Source organism: Homo sapiens, chromosome 15, assembly GCF_000001405.40.
Source record: "Homo sapiens chromosome 15, GRCh38.p14 Primary Assembly".
NCBI lineage: Eukaryota > Metazoa > Chordata > Mammalia > Primates > Hominidae > Homo > Homo sapiens.
Genome location: NC_000015.10, coordinates 30,744,173 through 30,761,426, shown reverse-complemented (window position 1 = coordinate 30,761,426; position 17,254 = coordinate 30,744,173). Strand labels below are relative to the sequence as shown.

The following is a 17,254-nucleotide window of genomic DNA, read 5'->3' as shown; positions in this document are numbered from 1 at the left end:
TTCTGCTTCTGCTCTAACCTCACCCTTGGTGTGGCCGTGTCCTTGACTTCCTTGGCTGTGAGATCAAGAACTTTGGATCAGGCAATGAGGCCATTTCACTGTGATCCTTGTGGATCTTGCTTCTTGCTTTTAAGGTTCATTAGGTATGATCAGAGTGATTTATTTACTTTTATTTTTTTAGAGTCAGGGTCTTAGTGTTGCCTAGGCTGGAGTCAGCAGTGCGATCATAGCTCACCATAACCTCGAACTCTTGGGCTCAAGTGATCTCCTCAACTCAGCCTCCTGAGTAGCCAGGACCACAGGCATATGCCACGATGCCCAGCTAATTTTTAGAAGATTTTTGTAGAGACAGAGGTCTTGCTATGTTGTTCAGGCTGGTCTTGAACTCTTGTCCTCAAGCCATCCTCCTGGCTTGGCCTCCGAAAGTGTTGGGATTACAGGTATGAGCTACTGTGTCTAGCCCTAGAAAAGTTTTTATTACAGGGCTAATTATTCCCAATTACTGAGGCAAGATCCTTCTAGGTATTATATTCAGTGCTTGTCCGGCCTGGCTGGTGAGCACAGGCACTTTCCATGGCTCTGTATCAGCCCCAGGCACTGTTTCCTCTAATCCTCTCAGGTGGTTCTCTCCCCAGCTGCACACAGCTTCCTCACACACAGGCACTGATCGGCACTTGGCTGAGTGGCACAGGCAAACCCTCTGTGAATCGCTGCAGTTCTCTCTGTGTAGCTGTCTCCGCTCTCAGGCTCTGACCTGAGGACTCCAGCCTCCTGGACTCCTGGGACTCTAAGCTCTGTCTCCTTCCACTGTGGAGTCAGGCAAGCTTCCTCTGGGTTCCTCCTCCCTGTACCACGGATTAGAAACTTTCTCAAGGCAGTGAGCTGGGCAATTATAGGACTAACCTTGTTTGTTTCCAATCTCTTGGGGACTACTGTCCTTCACTATCTAACGTTCAGTGTCTTGTTTATCATATTTATCTTTTTCTTTTTCAGGCAGGAGGGCACACCCACATTCTGATACTTCATCTTGGCTGGAAGTGGAGGTTTCCTGGTGCTGTCTGTTTTAAAACTTTTTATTATGGAAACATTCGTACATCACTTATAATAAACCTGTTTGCATCTACTATTCAGGTTTAATCAAAATCAACTCATGGATAATATTGTTTCATCTCCTCTCCCACCCATTCGCCTGTCCCCAGAAAACCCCTGCATGATATTACTTCATCCATCCACGTCAGTATGTATCTTATTTTTCTTAGCACTATCATAATAAAAATATCATATCTAAAAGTAGTTATTCTTTAATATCATCAAATATCCAGTAAATGTTAAGTGCTCACATTTCCCAGATTGTCTTATAATTTTTCTTTTTTAGTTTGTTGGAATCAGTATTCAAATAATGTGCATACATTATCACTATCTGACAGATCTCTTAAGCCTCTTTTAATCTACAGCACAGGTTGGCAAACTACTGCCCATAGGCAGGCTGGCTGGCTGCCTGTTTTATAAATAAAAGTTTTGTTAGAACACAGCTGCCTATAGATTGCTTTAGGCAGGAAGGACCTTAAAGGCAGGGCCTACTCTTCTTTCTTCCTGGCTCTCCCACACGCAGCCCAGAGGCCCTCAATGCCTGCTTGGAGATTGGAAACATGAAGGTTTGGCTTAAGTGGGAGTTCTTAATATGTAGCAGCCTCCTCTTTCCTGCCTAGTCAAAGAAAATAGTTTAAATTGATTTCAGTTTGCACAGCTAATTTTTTATTTTAAAAAGTGTTTAACGACATGACTCTGAATCTGAGGGCTTCTGGTTGTTTTTTGCTCCTTCCCTCTTCAGCTTGGTTCAGTTACGCCCACATTACTGAGTGCCCACTCAGGACAGCTCATCCACAGGGCTGGGGCTCTCAGCCATGTGAAAGGGAATGGCATGGAATTCCTGGACCTCAGGGAGCCCTGGAGTGGTGGGCACATAAGTGAAGCAAAGTGAAAGGACACAAAGTGGTGGGGGGCACGGGGGAATGGGGAGGCTTTATCCATGCACAGACACCAAGAAAGACGCTGGGATGAATATGACTGGCTTTCCGGAGAGGAAGTGTCTTTCTTTCTCTCTTTCTCTCTCTCCCTTTCTTTCCTTCTTTTCCTTTTTTTTTTTTTTTTTTTTTGAGACAGAGTCCCACTCTGTTGCGGAGGCTGGAGTACAATGGCGCGATCTCGGCTCACTGCAACCTATGCCTCCTGGGTTCAAGCAATTCTCCTGCCTCAGCCTCTTGAGTAGCTGGAATTACAGGTATGCACCACCACACCCGGCTAATTTTTGTATTTTTAGTAGAGACAGGGTTTCACCATGTTGGTCAGGCTGGTCTCGAACTCCTGACCTCGTGATCTGCCTGCCTTGGCCTCCCGAAGTGCTGGGATTACAGGCATGAGCCACCAAGCCTGGCCAAAGTGTTTAATTTCAAGCAGCCACAATGGCACAGACTCTTGAATAAAACCAACAAAATAGGCCAGTGATGATACCTGGGGGTTACAAGCTTCCCCAATAGGAAGGAAATGAAGGAAATAAGATCTACTTAATTGATCAGCGTGACACAAGGAAACTCACTGCAAATGGTCTTAATGGGTCTGTTTAAGAGTATTTAAATACACTCATCTCTCTAAAGGAAGAATGTGTCTTCCTGAATGAGGCCAGGCGAGAGGGAGTATCTTAGAATTCTGATCTGGAGATGTTTATTTTTATTTTTTTTGCCATTTTTCCCCCAAATATGTCTGGTCTAACGGCAGAGCTCTCCCTAGTGGGAACAGGACACTTGGAAGGGCAGCCAGCGGTTTCCTTTCAGTATTTCTAGACCCACTGATGGTCCCAGCCCCGGCCAAGGGCCATCACACCTTGTGGTCGAGTGTTAACTCCTGCTTAGGATTCATGGTCCCTAGACCACCTTTTTGTTCCCATTCAAGGGTGTGGGATTTGCCCATGGCAGTCCTCTAATTGCACACACTTGAAAACGCCAGAGCCGTGAACTCTGCTCAATCAATGGCATGTGCTCAAGACTGGGCAAATCCAGCTTGATAAGCATGTGATGAATTATAAAATAAGGCACAACCAAATACAAGCTGCAGCAGAAGTCCACAAAGTTCCACAGGAGGGCAAGGAATTATCAGTGAATCCTTACCTCGTCATAGAAACTTCTTCCTCCAGACATCCACGTGGCTTGCTTTCTCACCTCAAATCTTTGCTCAGATCCCATTTTTTTTAAGTGAAGCCTTCCCTGACAACCCTAATTTAAAACTGTACACACTCATACCTGCTTCCTTCTCCCCGACTTAGTTATCTCCACAGCACTAATGGCTAACACACTATATAACTTATTTCCATCTGTCTCCATGTGGGCAATTTCTGTCTGGCTGCTCATCACTGCACCTCAGCAGCTATTAATAGATCACTCTACTGAGGGACTCATACGTGCTGGGTGTTGGGCAAACAGTGAACAAAACCTTGTATGGTCCTTGCTGTCGGGGAGTTCATGATCCATCGTGGAGGGAGAGCTGAATTTCAACAGGCAGGCAGTGTGTGCAGGGGGAGGAGCAGCAGGAGCAATGGGTAGAGGCAGAAGCACAGAGGTGGGTGTCAAGTCAGGGAAAGGGATGGTGAAGAGATGCCTCAGGTAATGAGGGGAGGGACGGAATACGACTAGATGCTGAAGGGCTGGAGTACCAGTTGGAGAAGTTTATTTTGCAGGTAATGGGGATGGAGTATGAAAAATTGGAGGAAATGGAGTTACCTGACTAGAATTTGTTTTGGAGAACCACTTCAGGGACATGCAAGGGGCTGATATGAAGATGAGATGGAGCAGAGACCCCTCTTAGGGGCTTGCCGGGCACCTGCCCCCAAGCATGGAAATAAAAGGAAATCTTAAGTTCCTTCAAAGGCATTTCCAGGTACCTAGCCAGCACAGGGAAGTAAATGAGCAACTGAAGCAAGAAGGGAAGAATAACTTAAAACAATAGCCAGGGAAGTTTAAGTCACAGAATAGACCAAAGTTCCCATAGAGACTAAAGATAACATTTTAACAGAAGTCCTTAAGTTGATTTCCAGAAACCAAGACACCAACAAATGAAAAGTGCTATCTGCTGGCATGCAGACCTCAGACAGGGGAAACTGAGGACTGAGTTTGGACCACCACTCTTTGTTCTAAATTTCCTACTGAGGGGCCTGGAGGAAGTCATGCCCAGAGACCAGAGCTAACATTCTTTTCTGCTGATCACAAATTTGCAGACAAAGCTTCGTCTCCTTAACCCATTGTAAATCAGAAAATCTTCAAATCTACCTATGACCTATGCCCTCCGCCCCACATCTGGTTCAAGATGTCCTGTCTTTTTAGGTCAAACCAATGTACAGCCTCCGTGTATTGATTTATATCTTTGCCTGTAACTTCTGCCCCCTGCCTTTATTTTATTATTATTATGTTTTCAAGATGGAGTCTCGCTCTGTCGCCAGGCTGGAGTGTAATGGTGCGGTCTCAGCTCACTACAACCTCCGCCTCCTGGGTTTAAGCGATTCTCCTGCCTCAGCCTTCTGAGTAGCTGGGATTACAGGTGTATGCCACCACACCCAGCTAATTTTTGTGTCTGTAGGAGAGACAGGGTTTCACCATGTTAGCCAGGCTGGTCTCGAACTCCTGACCTCAGGTGATCCACCAGCCTAGGTCTCCCAAAGTGCTAGGATTACAGGCATGAGCCACCACGCCCAGCCTCTTCCTGCCTGTAAAAACGCTTACCTATATGGCACTGGGGGATTCAGGGCTTAAACATGAGCTGCCCAATTCTCCTGGCTTCCAGCCCTGCAATAAATGTCTCACTTTCTCTTACTGCAATCTTGATGTCAGTTTTTGGCTTTGCTGCGCCAGAGAGCCAGACCCAAGTTTGATCTGGTAACACAGGAAGCAGGTGAACAGGCAAGGCCACCCTCTTCTGTTTGGAGGCAGATCAGTGTTCACTTGCCTCAGTTTACCAAGGTTGTGATCAGCCTCTGCTCCTCCTTTCTCTTACTGGCCTCCCTCTGCTGTACTGTGATTCCCATCATTGCAGTGTTTAACTTTTTATTTTGAAATAAATAAAAATACAAGAAGTTACAAATGAGGACCACGTACCTTCCACTCAGCTTCTGCCACCATGAGGATTTATGTCTGTTTAGACATCTCCCCTCTAAATTCCTACATTACTGACATCCTCCCAATACAGATCTTTCTGAGGACTTACAACAAAAATATTTCATTCTTTGAAACACTGGCTTTAGAGAAATCTTCACCCAAATAACTTTGACACCTTAAATAATCCATCATACACAATGGAACCACAGTCCTCTTACCTGTGAAAGCCAAGGGCAGGACCCAGCAGTGGGTGAGGTGAGTGAGCACTCACCACTGCCACCCTCTGTCCCACTGGGTGCAGTCGGGACCCCTGGACAGCGTGCAGGCAGCAGCGACCGGGCTCAGGAAGGTGGATCACAGTTGGAGGTGCCGATGCAGAAAGGAGACCACAGTTGGAAGTACCACAGAGCTGGAGGTGAGCAAGACACTTCCCTTCCTCCAGTCTCCCCAGTGTGGAGTCAATGCAGCTCCTAACCCAGAGTGGGCACTAATTCCAGGAAAAGCCCAGCAACTCGGGTACAGAAGCAGGAAAGGGGTCTCTACCGTTCTAAGAAAGTCTGGAAATCTCTAATTTATCCTTTTTTTTTTTCTTTTTCTTCTAAAATTTTTTCTTCTCTGTGCCCCAGACCTCAAGAAATTTTGTGGCCCTAGTGAGAAATGGCAGATAATTAAAGTCATCAGGCCAGGCAAACTTCCTTTCCAACCAGAGAGTCTGAGGTCCCCAGAGGGTGGGGAAACCTTCATGCTTTTTCTCTCTGGCTTCTCGCTGCTTAGCTCTGACGTGGTTCAGTCAAGTGCACCAGAGAGTAGGGTAAATCAAGCCTCAACCACCCAAGCTGGCTGGAGGGCTGAAAAGGTAGAGCCCAGGGACCCAGACACTACTGGGCAGGTTACAATGAGGAAGGGCTTCGGGAGAGCAACCCCTGAAAGTTGCTCATGAACTCTTGGGCTTACCCTTGAGCTCTACATGTATGGATCCGACCCTACACGGACCACACAGACTTTGAGTGCTGAAATGTGGGATAGATTACCACCAGAGTCCCAGGCTGGCCACTAGGTGGCGCTTGTGCGAGACAGATCCACATCTCACAGACTCACAGCAACCACAATCCACACAAGTCTTGCAGGAACTTGGAATTTGTGGTCTGAACCCATTTGGGGTGATTATCTTCTAAAATAAAGTTAATAATGTTCACTGTAAGATTTTAACAATAACCAGAATCTCAAAACATAGTATTTAAAATGTCTAGGATACAATTCAGCATACTGAAACCATACTCAGCATACAAAAAGCCAACAGCTACTCTGAGATGAAACAGATACTGGAATTATTTGACAAAGATTTTCAAGCAGTTGTTAAAAATATTGTACAAGTAAAGGAGGGTACTCTTAAAACATATAGAAAATTTTGCAAAGAAATGGAAGATATGAAGAAGAACTAAGTGGAAATATTAGAAATGAAAAAAATCAACTACGAAAATAGAAAACACACTGGCTGGGCTCACTACTGGGATGAAGATGATGGAGGAAGTAGTCAGTCAGTTCATAAATAAATTAATAGAAATGACTGAATCTGAGTAACAGACAAAGTTTGAAAACCTTGAACAGAACCATAGAGACCTTAGGTAATAACAAAAGGGCCGAGCTTCCTATCATCTGAGTCCCAGAAGGAAAGAAAAAAAGGGCAGAACATAGAAACATGGAAAGAAATAGCTGAAAGTCTGGTTTACCACTAGAAGGCAATCAGTTTAATCTAGTATAGCAACAGTTTAAAGCAAAAAACCCACTTGATCTTCATTTTAAAAATTCAGTATCTATTTATTATAAAACTCTCAGCAAACTTGGAATAGAAAGAAATTTTCTTCACCTGATAAAGACCATCTACTAAAACCTATAGCCAACATTCTACTTAATGGTGAAATACTGCTTGTTCTCAGAGATTAAGAACAACACAAGGATCTTCTTTCTTAACACCGCTATTTAACCTTTTGAATAGTCTTCGTCAGTGAAATAAGACAAGAAAACCAGAAAGGCCTAGAGACTGGAAAGGAAGAAATAAAACTGTCCTTACTCACAGATAACATGATCACCTATGTATAAAATCCCAAGGAACACACACACACACACACACACACACCCCTCCTAGAACAAACTGAGTTTAGCTTTAGCAAGATTGCAGGATGCAAGATCAACACACAAAAATCAGTTATATTTCTGTACATTGCCAATGAACAAGTAGAAACTGAAATAAAAAATACCACATACAATAGCTTACAACCCCGACCCCCAATACACATATAACAAAAGATGTATAGGATCTACATGCCAAAAACCATAAAATGTTGACGAAAGAACTTAATGGAGGCCCAAGCAAATGGAAATTATGGCACTCCTTCATGGACTGAAAGACATAACATAGGATTGAGTTGTAGATTTACTAAAATTGTAGACAAAATCTCAGCAAAACAGTTTAGAGTAGATAGAGGTAAGCAGATCCTAAAGTTCACATAGAAAGGCAAAAAAAAAAAAAGAATAGCTGAAACACTCTTGAAAAAGAAGAATAAATTTAGAAAAATCACACTATCTGATTTTAAGACTCATTACAAAGCTATAGAAATCAATATGGCACAGTTTTGATAAAAGAACAGACATAATGATCAATGGAACAGAACCACTGTCCAGAAATATATTCCTTACAAATACCCTCAGTTGGCTTTTTGTCAAATTGCAATGGCAATTCAATTTCAATGAAAGAAGGAGGATATTTTCTATAAATGATGTTGAAACAATTGGATATCCGTATGCATAAAACTGAATCTGGACCTAAATCTCACATATTATACAAAAATCATCTCAAATGGATCGTAGATCTAAATGTAAAACATGACAGTATAAAACTTTTAAAAGACCAACTACAAGAAAATCTTCATGACCTGGAGTTATGCAAAATTTCTCAGACATGTCACTCAAAGCATGATCCATACCAGAAAAAAGTCGTTGGAACGCATCAGAATTTAAAACTGTGCTCTGTAAAAGGCCCTGTTAAGAGACTGAAAAGTCAAGCACAGATTGGGAGAAGATATTCACAAATCCCATATCTGAACAAAAGATTTATACTCAGAATATGTAAAGAACTCTTAAATCTCAAGTAAACAATTCAATTTAGACATAGGCAAAAAGCCTGAACAGACATTTCACGAAAGAGAATAAAAAGATGGAAAATAAACAGCATGAAAATTTTCAACGTCATTAATTATTAGGGAAATGAAAATTAAAACCATGAAGAAATACCATCACACAGCTATCAAATGGTTAAAATGAAAAAACAAAAAAGGAAGAAATACCAAGTGTTGACAAGGATGTGGGGCAGCTGGAGCTCTCAGACACTGCTGGTAGGAATGCAAAATGGTGCAGCACTCTGGAAAACAGGTTGGCAGTTTCTTACAAAGTTAACATGTATTTAGCTTAGAAAAATTAAAACTAGGCCAGGCAGGGTGGCTTACACCTATAATCCCAGCACTTTGGGAGGCTGAGGTGGGCAGATCACAAGGTCAGGAGTTCAAGACCAGCTTGGCCAAATATGGTGAAATCCCGTCTCTACTAAAAATACAAAAATTAGCTGGGCATGGTGATGCGCGGCTGTAATCCCAGCTACTCAGGAGGCTAAGGCAGGAAAATTGATTGAACTGGGACCCAGGAGGTGGAGGTTGCAATGAGCCGAGATAGCGCCACTGCACTCCAGCCTGGGCTAGAGTGAGACTCTCTCACCAAAAAAAAAAAAAAAAAAAAGAAGAAAAAGAAAAATTAAAACTATATTCACAAAATCCCGTTCTTAAATGTTTCCAGAAGCTCTAGTCTAACTGCCAAAAACGGAAAACAACTGAAATGCCCCTGGACAGATGAGTGGAGAAATTCTGGTGTACCTGCAGAATGGAATACTACTCAGCAACAAAAAGGAACCGGCTACTGACACATGACTTGATGAGTCTCAAAATGATCTCCCTGCATGAAAAGGAGCCAGTTTCAGAAGATTAGGCTCTGTAGGACATTTATCTGACATTCTTGCAAAGAGACAAAACTAGTGATAGAAAACAGAGCACTGACTGCCAGTGGTTGGGGTAGGGGAGGGTCTGATTATAAAAGACATCAGGACAGAGAATCTGGAGGGGATGAAGTGCTTCTGTGTCCTGAATGTGGTAGTAATAACACAAATCCATACATGTGTTAAAGTTCATAGAACTAGACACAAAAAACTCAATTTTTCTGTATCTTAATGTGAAAAATATAAGTAAAAAAATAAAGAAAAGAGATGACAACTCTTGCTTCCTATTTAAGGCTGTCTAGACATTAATACTGATGTTAGTACTAATTACAATAATGGCCACCACAAGCATGGTCTTCTATACTTTTTTGAGCATCTGCTACATGCTGCTTCTTTACCACACATTTTATATCACAACTTCTAATATTCACAGTCACCTTGTAAGGTGGGTTAAGCTCAACATAGAAGAAATCTCAGGGTAAGGGAAGTAAAATAATTTGTCCTATATCTCATAGTTGATAAGTGGCTGAATCTGAACTCAAACTCGGATTTCACTGCCGACCTTATTCCAAGCCTGCTTCTCCACTCTGCTGCCCACTTAATGAAAATAATGGAAACTGACAGGGAGACATTATATAATATAAATAGCAGGAAGGGAGAATCATATTTTGATTTCCATAGATTGCAAAAACTCTCAGCATATTTTATTCTAAACTTGGAGTTGGTTTGAAATTCTAATAGGTTGGGGAAAATTTAAAAACTATGCTTTTGCCATTGCCATTTTTTGATAATCCTCCAGTAGGTGGTTCTTAATTTTCAATATGATTGAATAGTTCTCTCCACTTCTGCAAATGTACAATAATTCTTATTTTCCCTAAGTGACTTAAAGAATCATTGTGACTTACAATTCTTGACCAAGTATTTACTAACTCCACAAATTGCAGTTTATACATTTGAAGCAAAGAGTAAACATTACAAAGTTCTCTCCTCTCACACAGCTGACTGTCCTGAGAAGTTGTAACTGGTCCCTCCCACCTTTACATACCACTGCCACCATCAGAAAAAAAAAAGAAAGGTAAAGCCATTTTAGAGACATAGAAACTAAACTTTCATTTTAGTTCACTATGGTTATGGCTGAATACATATCTGAAAACATCATACATACGGAGGATGCACATTTCTCACGCAGCAAATGGTATCTACATGAAAAGCTGGAGGATGAAGGCTGTCTTCTTGCTTGTGAATTATTCCCAGTGACTTTCCTGGATAGTAGGTGCTTTTTCCACCAAAAACCCTGGCCTAGAGTATTTTCGTCTCTACTAACACAGAGATATGAAACTAAGGCCTCCCATAAAAGTATTTTCTTGAATGTTTTATAATTTCTGCTCCATTGAATATATTTTCTTAAATATAATAATTAGTGATAAAATTTTGACTCGACATCAGTAAGATGTAACACAAAGCAAAGCCCACTTAGTGCTTCATGCTATTTTACTGTCAAGAGTTGGGGGATCTATTTCATAACCCAAATAAAAATAAGAAAAACAAAAATAATTTTATCACCAACACTTTCACTTTTGAGAGTCCAAATACTGTCCAAGTACCACTGTCGTCAGTTATTGGAAATCTTATTTGGAAGGTGGTTATGCCCAGAATGGTGGTGTGGGGGACAAGGAGGTGGGCTTACCTTCCAGCAGGTCTCTGGCCAGACCAGGTTCTGCCCCCGTGGACCGAACAAAGTCTGACAGGACTGCGTCCATATCAAGAGTCATAGGATCATGTAGAAGTGCTGCCCAACACTCAGCCGAGGTGGGGTTTGGAAGCACACTAGAAACCATCCATCTGCAGGAAAGAAGAGAAAGGGCATTTTACCACGTGATGGAAATGGAGCTGCAAGTGACAACTACATGCAGAGACCTGAGCGAGAGAACCCTCGAGGGTGGAGCCATTTCCACCTGCTGTCATATTTTTTAGAATTGGTTTGGTCCAACTGCCTGATTCTTCATGCAAGACATTATATTATAGAATGCTAACTAAAATTTCATCCCTGTGTACATGCCATGTGAGAGAAGGGGTATTATGAGCCAAATGTTTGTGTTCCCTCCCAAAATTCATATGTTGATATCTAATCTCCAAGGTGATGGAGAAAGACAGTGCCATCTATGAAGCAGGAAATGGGCCCTCACTAGACACCAAATCTGCTGGTTCCCTGACCTTAGACTTCCCAGCCTTTAGTACTGTGTGGAATACATTTCTGTTGTTCATAAGCCTCCCAAGCTATTGTATTTTGACATAGCAGCCCAGATAGACTAAGGCAAGGGGTCATCACTATCTCCAGTGCTCCTGAAGTTACATTTTATTAATTCCAGTAACTGATGAGGAAAAAAGACTATTTTAAAATTTCAAACACCTAAGTATACCTAGAAAAATTCAACTGGAGTTGCTAGATTTCTAATCCTCTTCCGAATTGTATAGACTTGTAATACTTCCACAATGTGATGAATGTTACCCACTCTATTCCAATTATGCCTTTATCAGTGTGCCATCCTACCCCCTCAGCTCTCACCCCTTACTTGGCTATTAGGAAAGACTAATAGCCAAGGTTAATCCACAGTTGACGGAAATACCATACTTGCTGAAGATGGCTACTGAACTATCTACCATCCCTCTAAGAGCTGCCATCAATCCAACAACATTCTTAAGAATGTCAGATTTCCCAGGCAGCATGATCCCAGCCAGAGAAATACAACGGATATGCAGCAGGTTGACCCAGGCTGACTGTAGCAGCTGATTGCTGGGGAAAAGCAACTGTGACATTACAAGTGAGAGTAACTTACACTAGTGAATGGTGCTGGGGCCCCAGTGGGTGCTCAATCTTTGCCGGTGGAGTGTAAATGCATCCTTGTGTTTGTGTAGATAAGAGGTCTGCAAGTTATAGACTATGGGCCACATGTGGTCTGCCACCCATTTTTGTAAATGAAGTTTTATGGGAACACAGCCATACCCACTCATTTGCATAGCATCTGTGGCTGCTTTTGCACCTGGCTGAGTTGAGTAGTTAAAACAGAGATCCTTAAGGCCCACAAAACTGAAAAGATGTACTTCCTGGAACTTTATGGAAAAAGCTTGCAGACCCCATTACAGGCAATGGAAAATTTTATGCTAGGAAGTATGTAATTAATTTTACATATTGTGGGATGAGTTTGAATCCCATGCTATTGATGACTGTCCTCTGTTCTTTCTTTCACAGTAACTCACTGGGATGGGTGCTGCTTGGTGGAGTAGGTCCTGTGTCAGTGGCCCATGCTTTAGAGCCAGGCACATAGCCTGATTTGACCCTGGCCCTGCCCCTGTCCAGCTGTGACATGGGCTTCACCTCTCTGAGCCCTCCTGATTTTCTGTAGGAATGCAGGAAATGAGCTCACCTAACGTGCAAGACCCTGAGGACTGAGGGTCTCAGGCAGGGAGGTCTGTACCCTCAGAGACATTCACTGTGACCACCCCATCTTGCACACAGCTCCTATTGGGTATAATTTTTAGTTGATGCGGCTAGAAAATAAGAAATTATTTGACCTGATGTATATGGTACCAATTAGGAAATTGATTTCTTCCTTCTCTCCATGCACTGGGGCCTCGGCCGGGAGAGTCTCTTCTTTCGTCACTGCCACCTGGGGGACAGATCAGAGAACAAGAGCATGTGATCTCCTTACCCTCAGACTGAGGCCGAAGGCTTGGCTTTTTGTCACAGGAGGCTGGATCTTGGCCTTGGCCAATTGCCTGAGGCATGTACTCTGTCTTCCTGGGCCCTACAGGTCCCCACTTGCCAGCTGACCAGCATCTCCCATGCCCAGGCCTGGCCATCTCAGCTTTCCTCATTTTAGCAAGCACATCTATTTCAGTGAGGATCACTTGCACAGCACAGAGCTGTTTTTTTTCTTTTTTTTTTTTTGAGATAGAGTCTTGCTGTGTTGCCCAGGCTGGAGTGCAGTGGCGTGATCTCGGCTCACTGGAAGCTCCGCCTCCCAAGTTCATGCCATTCTCCCTGCCTCAGCCTCCCAAGTAGCTGAGACTACAGGCGCCCGCCACCATGCCCAGCTAACATTTTTTTGTGTATTTTTAGTAGAGACAGGGTTTCACCATGTTAGCCAGGATGGTCTCGATCTCCTGACCTCGTGATCCACTCACCTCAGCCTCCCAGAGTGCTGGGATTGCAGGCGTGAGCCACCACACCTGGCCTTCTAGATGTATTTCTTAAACCTCACACTGCCACCATCACCACACCCTCACATTCATGTCCCATGATGATATGGGAGAGGCTGGGCTGGTAGGGACACTTGACCCCAGCCACCTGGGCCATCCTCACCCACTGCCCCGTGCCATCCTCCCAAGCATGCACTGTGCCTCTCGACCTGCCTTGTGTGGTCTAAAGCACTCACTCAGCCGCTTTGAACAGCATGAGGCTCTGGGTGGCCGTGCCCTGGCCCTGCATTCCTGCTCTCCTCCGTGCAAACTAGCCCTTGGACAGAACATCTCTGAAGGTCTCATCAGCCACCCCGGGGAGAGTAATGTGTCCCAACAATGCATGGTGACTTTGCCTTAGGAGGGGCAGTGCCATGTGGGGACAGAGGGTTGGCCCTGGAATCAGTCCCTTGGGGCCAAAATGGTTCCACCACTTTGTGTGACCTTGGGCATGTTATATCACCTCTCTGTGCCTCAGTTTCCTCATCAATACAATTATAATTGTATCTAACAGTTATTATGAAATTTTAAGGAATTCTGCACAAAATGTACTGGCCCATAGTACATGCTCAATATACATTAATTATGAGCCAGTGAATGAACTCTCAACAGGGACCCTGAGACCACCCTTGCCTTCCCAGGGCTCCACTGAGCAAGAAAACTGCTGCCACCAGCTTGCTGAAGGCAGATATAAGGGGCCTACCTCTAGTGCCTTGGCTTGGAATCACAGAGGGTTAAACTGGTGGGGGCTCCTGCCTTCAATTCCGTCTTCTCTCCCGTATCCGAGGTTGCAGTGTTCATTGATTACTTAAGCAACCTTCATGGAGCTGCTAATCTGTTCAGGACATGACTGCAGGGACTCTGTGGGAACTATGAGCCCCCTGAGCTTTCCCAGGATCTCCCCAGTAAGCAGAAAGGGACAGACACACACATACAGGTCTCAGAGACCAACTGCTGGATTTGGAAGACACTTAGTGGAGGAAGTGGTCCAACCAGAGAGAGTAAAATTGGAAGACAGAGGTGTAGCAGGATAAAGACCAAACTACCTCAGGATCCATTTTTCATTAACTTCTGTTTTGGCCAGGTGCAGTGGATTACACCTGTAATCCCAGCACTTCGGGAGGCCAAGGCTGGTAGATCACCTGAGGTCTGGAGTTCGAGGGCAGCCTGGCCAAAACGGGGAAACCCCGTCTCTACTAATAATACAAAAAAAAAAGAAGAAGAAGAAGAGCCAGGTGTGGTGGCAGACACCTGTAATCCCAGCTACTTGGGAGGCTGAGGCAGGAGAATTGCTTGAACCCGAGAGGTGGAGGTTACAGTGAGCCAAGATCACGCCATTGCACTCCAGCCTGGGCAACAAGAGCGAAATTCCATCTCCAATGAATGAATGAATAAATAAATAAATAAATAAATAAATTAAATAAACTTCTGTTTCAATGAAGCTCAAATAAAACATTCCTGCATTATATTTGTCTGTAGATGTTACAACTCGACACTGGAAGGCAATAAAACGGGTGGATGGAGAATGAGACTGGGAGATGATGGCAGAGGCTTGTGGTCTGATCCCTGGGGACAGGTACAGGAAGACTATGGGTGAATGAGTGCCTGGAGGTTACTCTTCACTCTCAGGGCAGTGAAGAGGGTAGTGAATGCTTTTAACATCTCTTTCAACAGAGGGCCAGCTGCCTGAGAGCTGGGATCCACTTCATCCTCCTTTCTATCCTCCTGCCCACAGTGCCTGGCACACAGCAGGGCCAACTCTAAGGTGAGGCGAGGAGGCACCTGCCACTGCTGCAGAATCTAAGGGGGTGCAAAAACACTCAGGAATCGACATAAACAACATTTTAGTGCTATATCTGCAAAAATAAAAATTAGCGCAAAAATATCTTTGAGGAACAAAATATCAGCCTTTTAAATGAAGGCAAGGTTGGCATGACCATTTTTCCTTTGCCCCTGGCTCTGCAGGGCTGCCAGGCCCTGGCATGAGCTCAAAGCTGCTGCCTGGGAGGCAGGTGGTTTGGAGGCAGCCAAGTGAACACCCATCACAGCCAGAGAGCCTGACCTCAGAGAGGGCCAGCGAGGGGAGGGCCACGGGCAGGGGAACACAAGTGAGTGGGGAGTGGGAGCTCACCCTCATCAGGTCTGTTTGATGATAAAGCACACTGAACACAGGGATAAGGGAACAGAGGGGTGGATGAACAGATCTGGGGTCGAGCACAGGCTTGGGAGCTGATGGCCTGGCTGGGTGCAAAGCCCCTGCAACCCTGGAAAGGCCACTTCACTTCTTGAAGCCTTGGTTGTCACATCTGAGCAATGAGGGTGAGAACAACCCTGCCTCTTAGAATTGCAGTAAGGATACAGTGACATGACACTGAAAGAACATGCACTATTACTATTATTGACATAGATTAAAACAATAGGCAAATGTACTGTTCTGGTATTGAGAATCCACCCTTGACTACCCATACATTTATACATCCCTGTTAAGGGGGTGAATGGTTAAATATGAAAAAAGGTCAGGCATGCGTTCATCTTGTCCGGCCTGGCGAGGAAGCCCACCCTGGTGAGAAGATCAGATGCCTGGGTTCCCGTGGTGAAATGAATTGGATGTCTCAACTCACAGGTCAACATTCCAAGAGACTGTGTGGTCCATCCCTTGCCAGACGCCCTTGTGACCTTGGGCAAGCGTGGTGCACTAGGGGACAAAGGCTTCTGTGGATGCCACATTAGGGAAACACATCTTCCAGAGCGTCTTCATGGTTCAGATGAAAATTAAGAAAGCCCGGTGTCTTTCAGTGCGGGGGCATGAGTTCTGGGAAGGTTGGCTCTGCCAAACATTCAAATGCGTAGAGCACATTCTCATTTCCAAAGCTTGGCCACGTATATTACTTACATAACCTCCACAACACCAGCTAAAGATGAGTCTAAGAGTAATTTGGACTGTGATGAAGCAATTTCTCCAGGAAATTCAGTGTAAAAAGCCCTGGGTGAGGAGAGGAAAGGTGCTTCTTAGGAATAAGAAGAGAAGTTTGGCCAGACAGCGACAGATAGGGCTGTGTGAAAATCAAACAAAAGTGGCTATAGGAATGTCTGTGGGGCACATTGAAGTTCTTCACATTGTTGCAGGATCATTTCACTCTTTAGTTTTCCCCTTGTTGAAGCTGATACGCTCAAACACATTGTCTTGTAGGAACTGAGGAAGGCTCCAGCAGCAACAGTGGGCAGTGCCGGGACCCACCACTTGTACCTGAGGCTCGGAGAAGGCACACGTGTGGGCTTTGAGCCCATTTCACTTGTCCAGCAGGTGCCGCGGGCTGGACACCCAATGGGCTTAATGGGAGGGAGACATGCCTTCTGTTCAGGGGCCATGACTGGGTCTTATGCCAGCTCTCAGAGCATCTGGTGCCTTTAAGATAAAATATGTGCATAGATGCATGATTGGAAGCAAAACATTTCCTTAGTTGACACTCACTCATTGTACTTTTTCATAATTTTCTCCTAGTATGGAAAGATGGAAGAAAAGTCTCTCCTAAAATGTGTAACTTTGGGAATAGCAGTAAGTGTAGGATCTACTGGGGTTTTGTCTTATATGCATTGAAATTATATACTCATCAATGACATATCAAATTCTTTAACGGTTCTTAATACAAGTTAAACAGTAGTTTAACTGACAGGAGAAAGTGGGGCACTAGAAATTGTAAATGGCACCTCAACATTCCAGTCTCTCTACTCTTGAGCTTAGATTTTTAGGCTAACAAGGAGAACACAGAATTACCTGATGGTACATATTTTAAAAGTATTTTTCCAATAAAAATTTAAATATGTATAAAAG

General features: G+C 43.9%; 1 pseudogene across 3 annotated transcripts in view; it reads right to left on the bottom strand.

Moving 5' to 3' along the window:
• Positions 1 to 17,254, bottom strand: part of LOC100288637 (OTU deubiquitinase 7A pseudogene) — a 126,895-nt pseudogene that overhangs the window by 11,583 nt on the left and 98,058 nt on the right. For 2 of the 3 annotated variants that reach the window (NR_038253.1, NR_038254.1), the window contains 2 exons: positions 12,757 to 12,851; positions 10,871 to 11,025 (listed from right to left, as the gene is read on the bottom strand). The product of NR_038253.1 is annotated as an OTU deubiquitinase 7A pseudogene, transcript variant 1 (transcript). The remainder of the gene's footprint in view (positions 1 to 10,870; positions 11,026 to 12,756; positions 12,852 to 17,254) is intronic. The other variant, NR_038255.1, reaches the window with a different exon arrangement.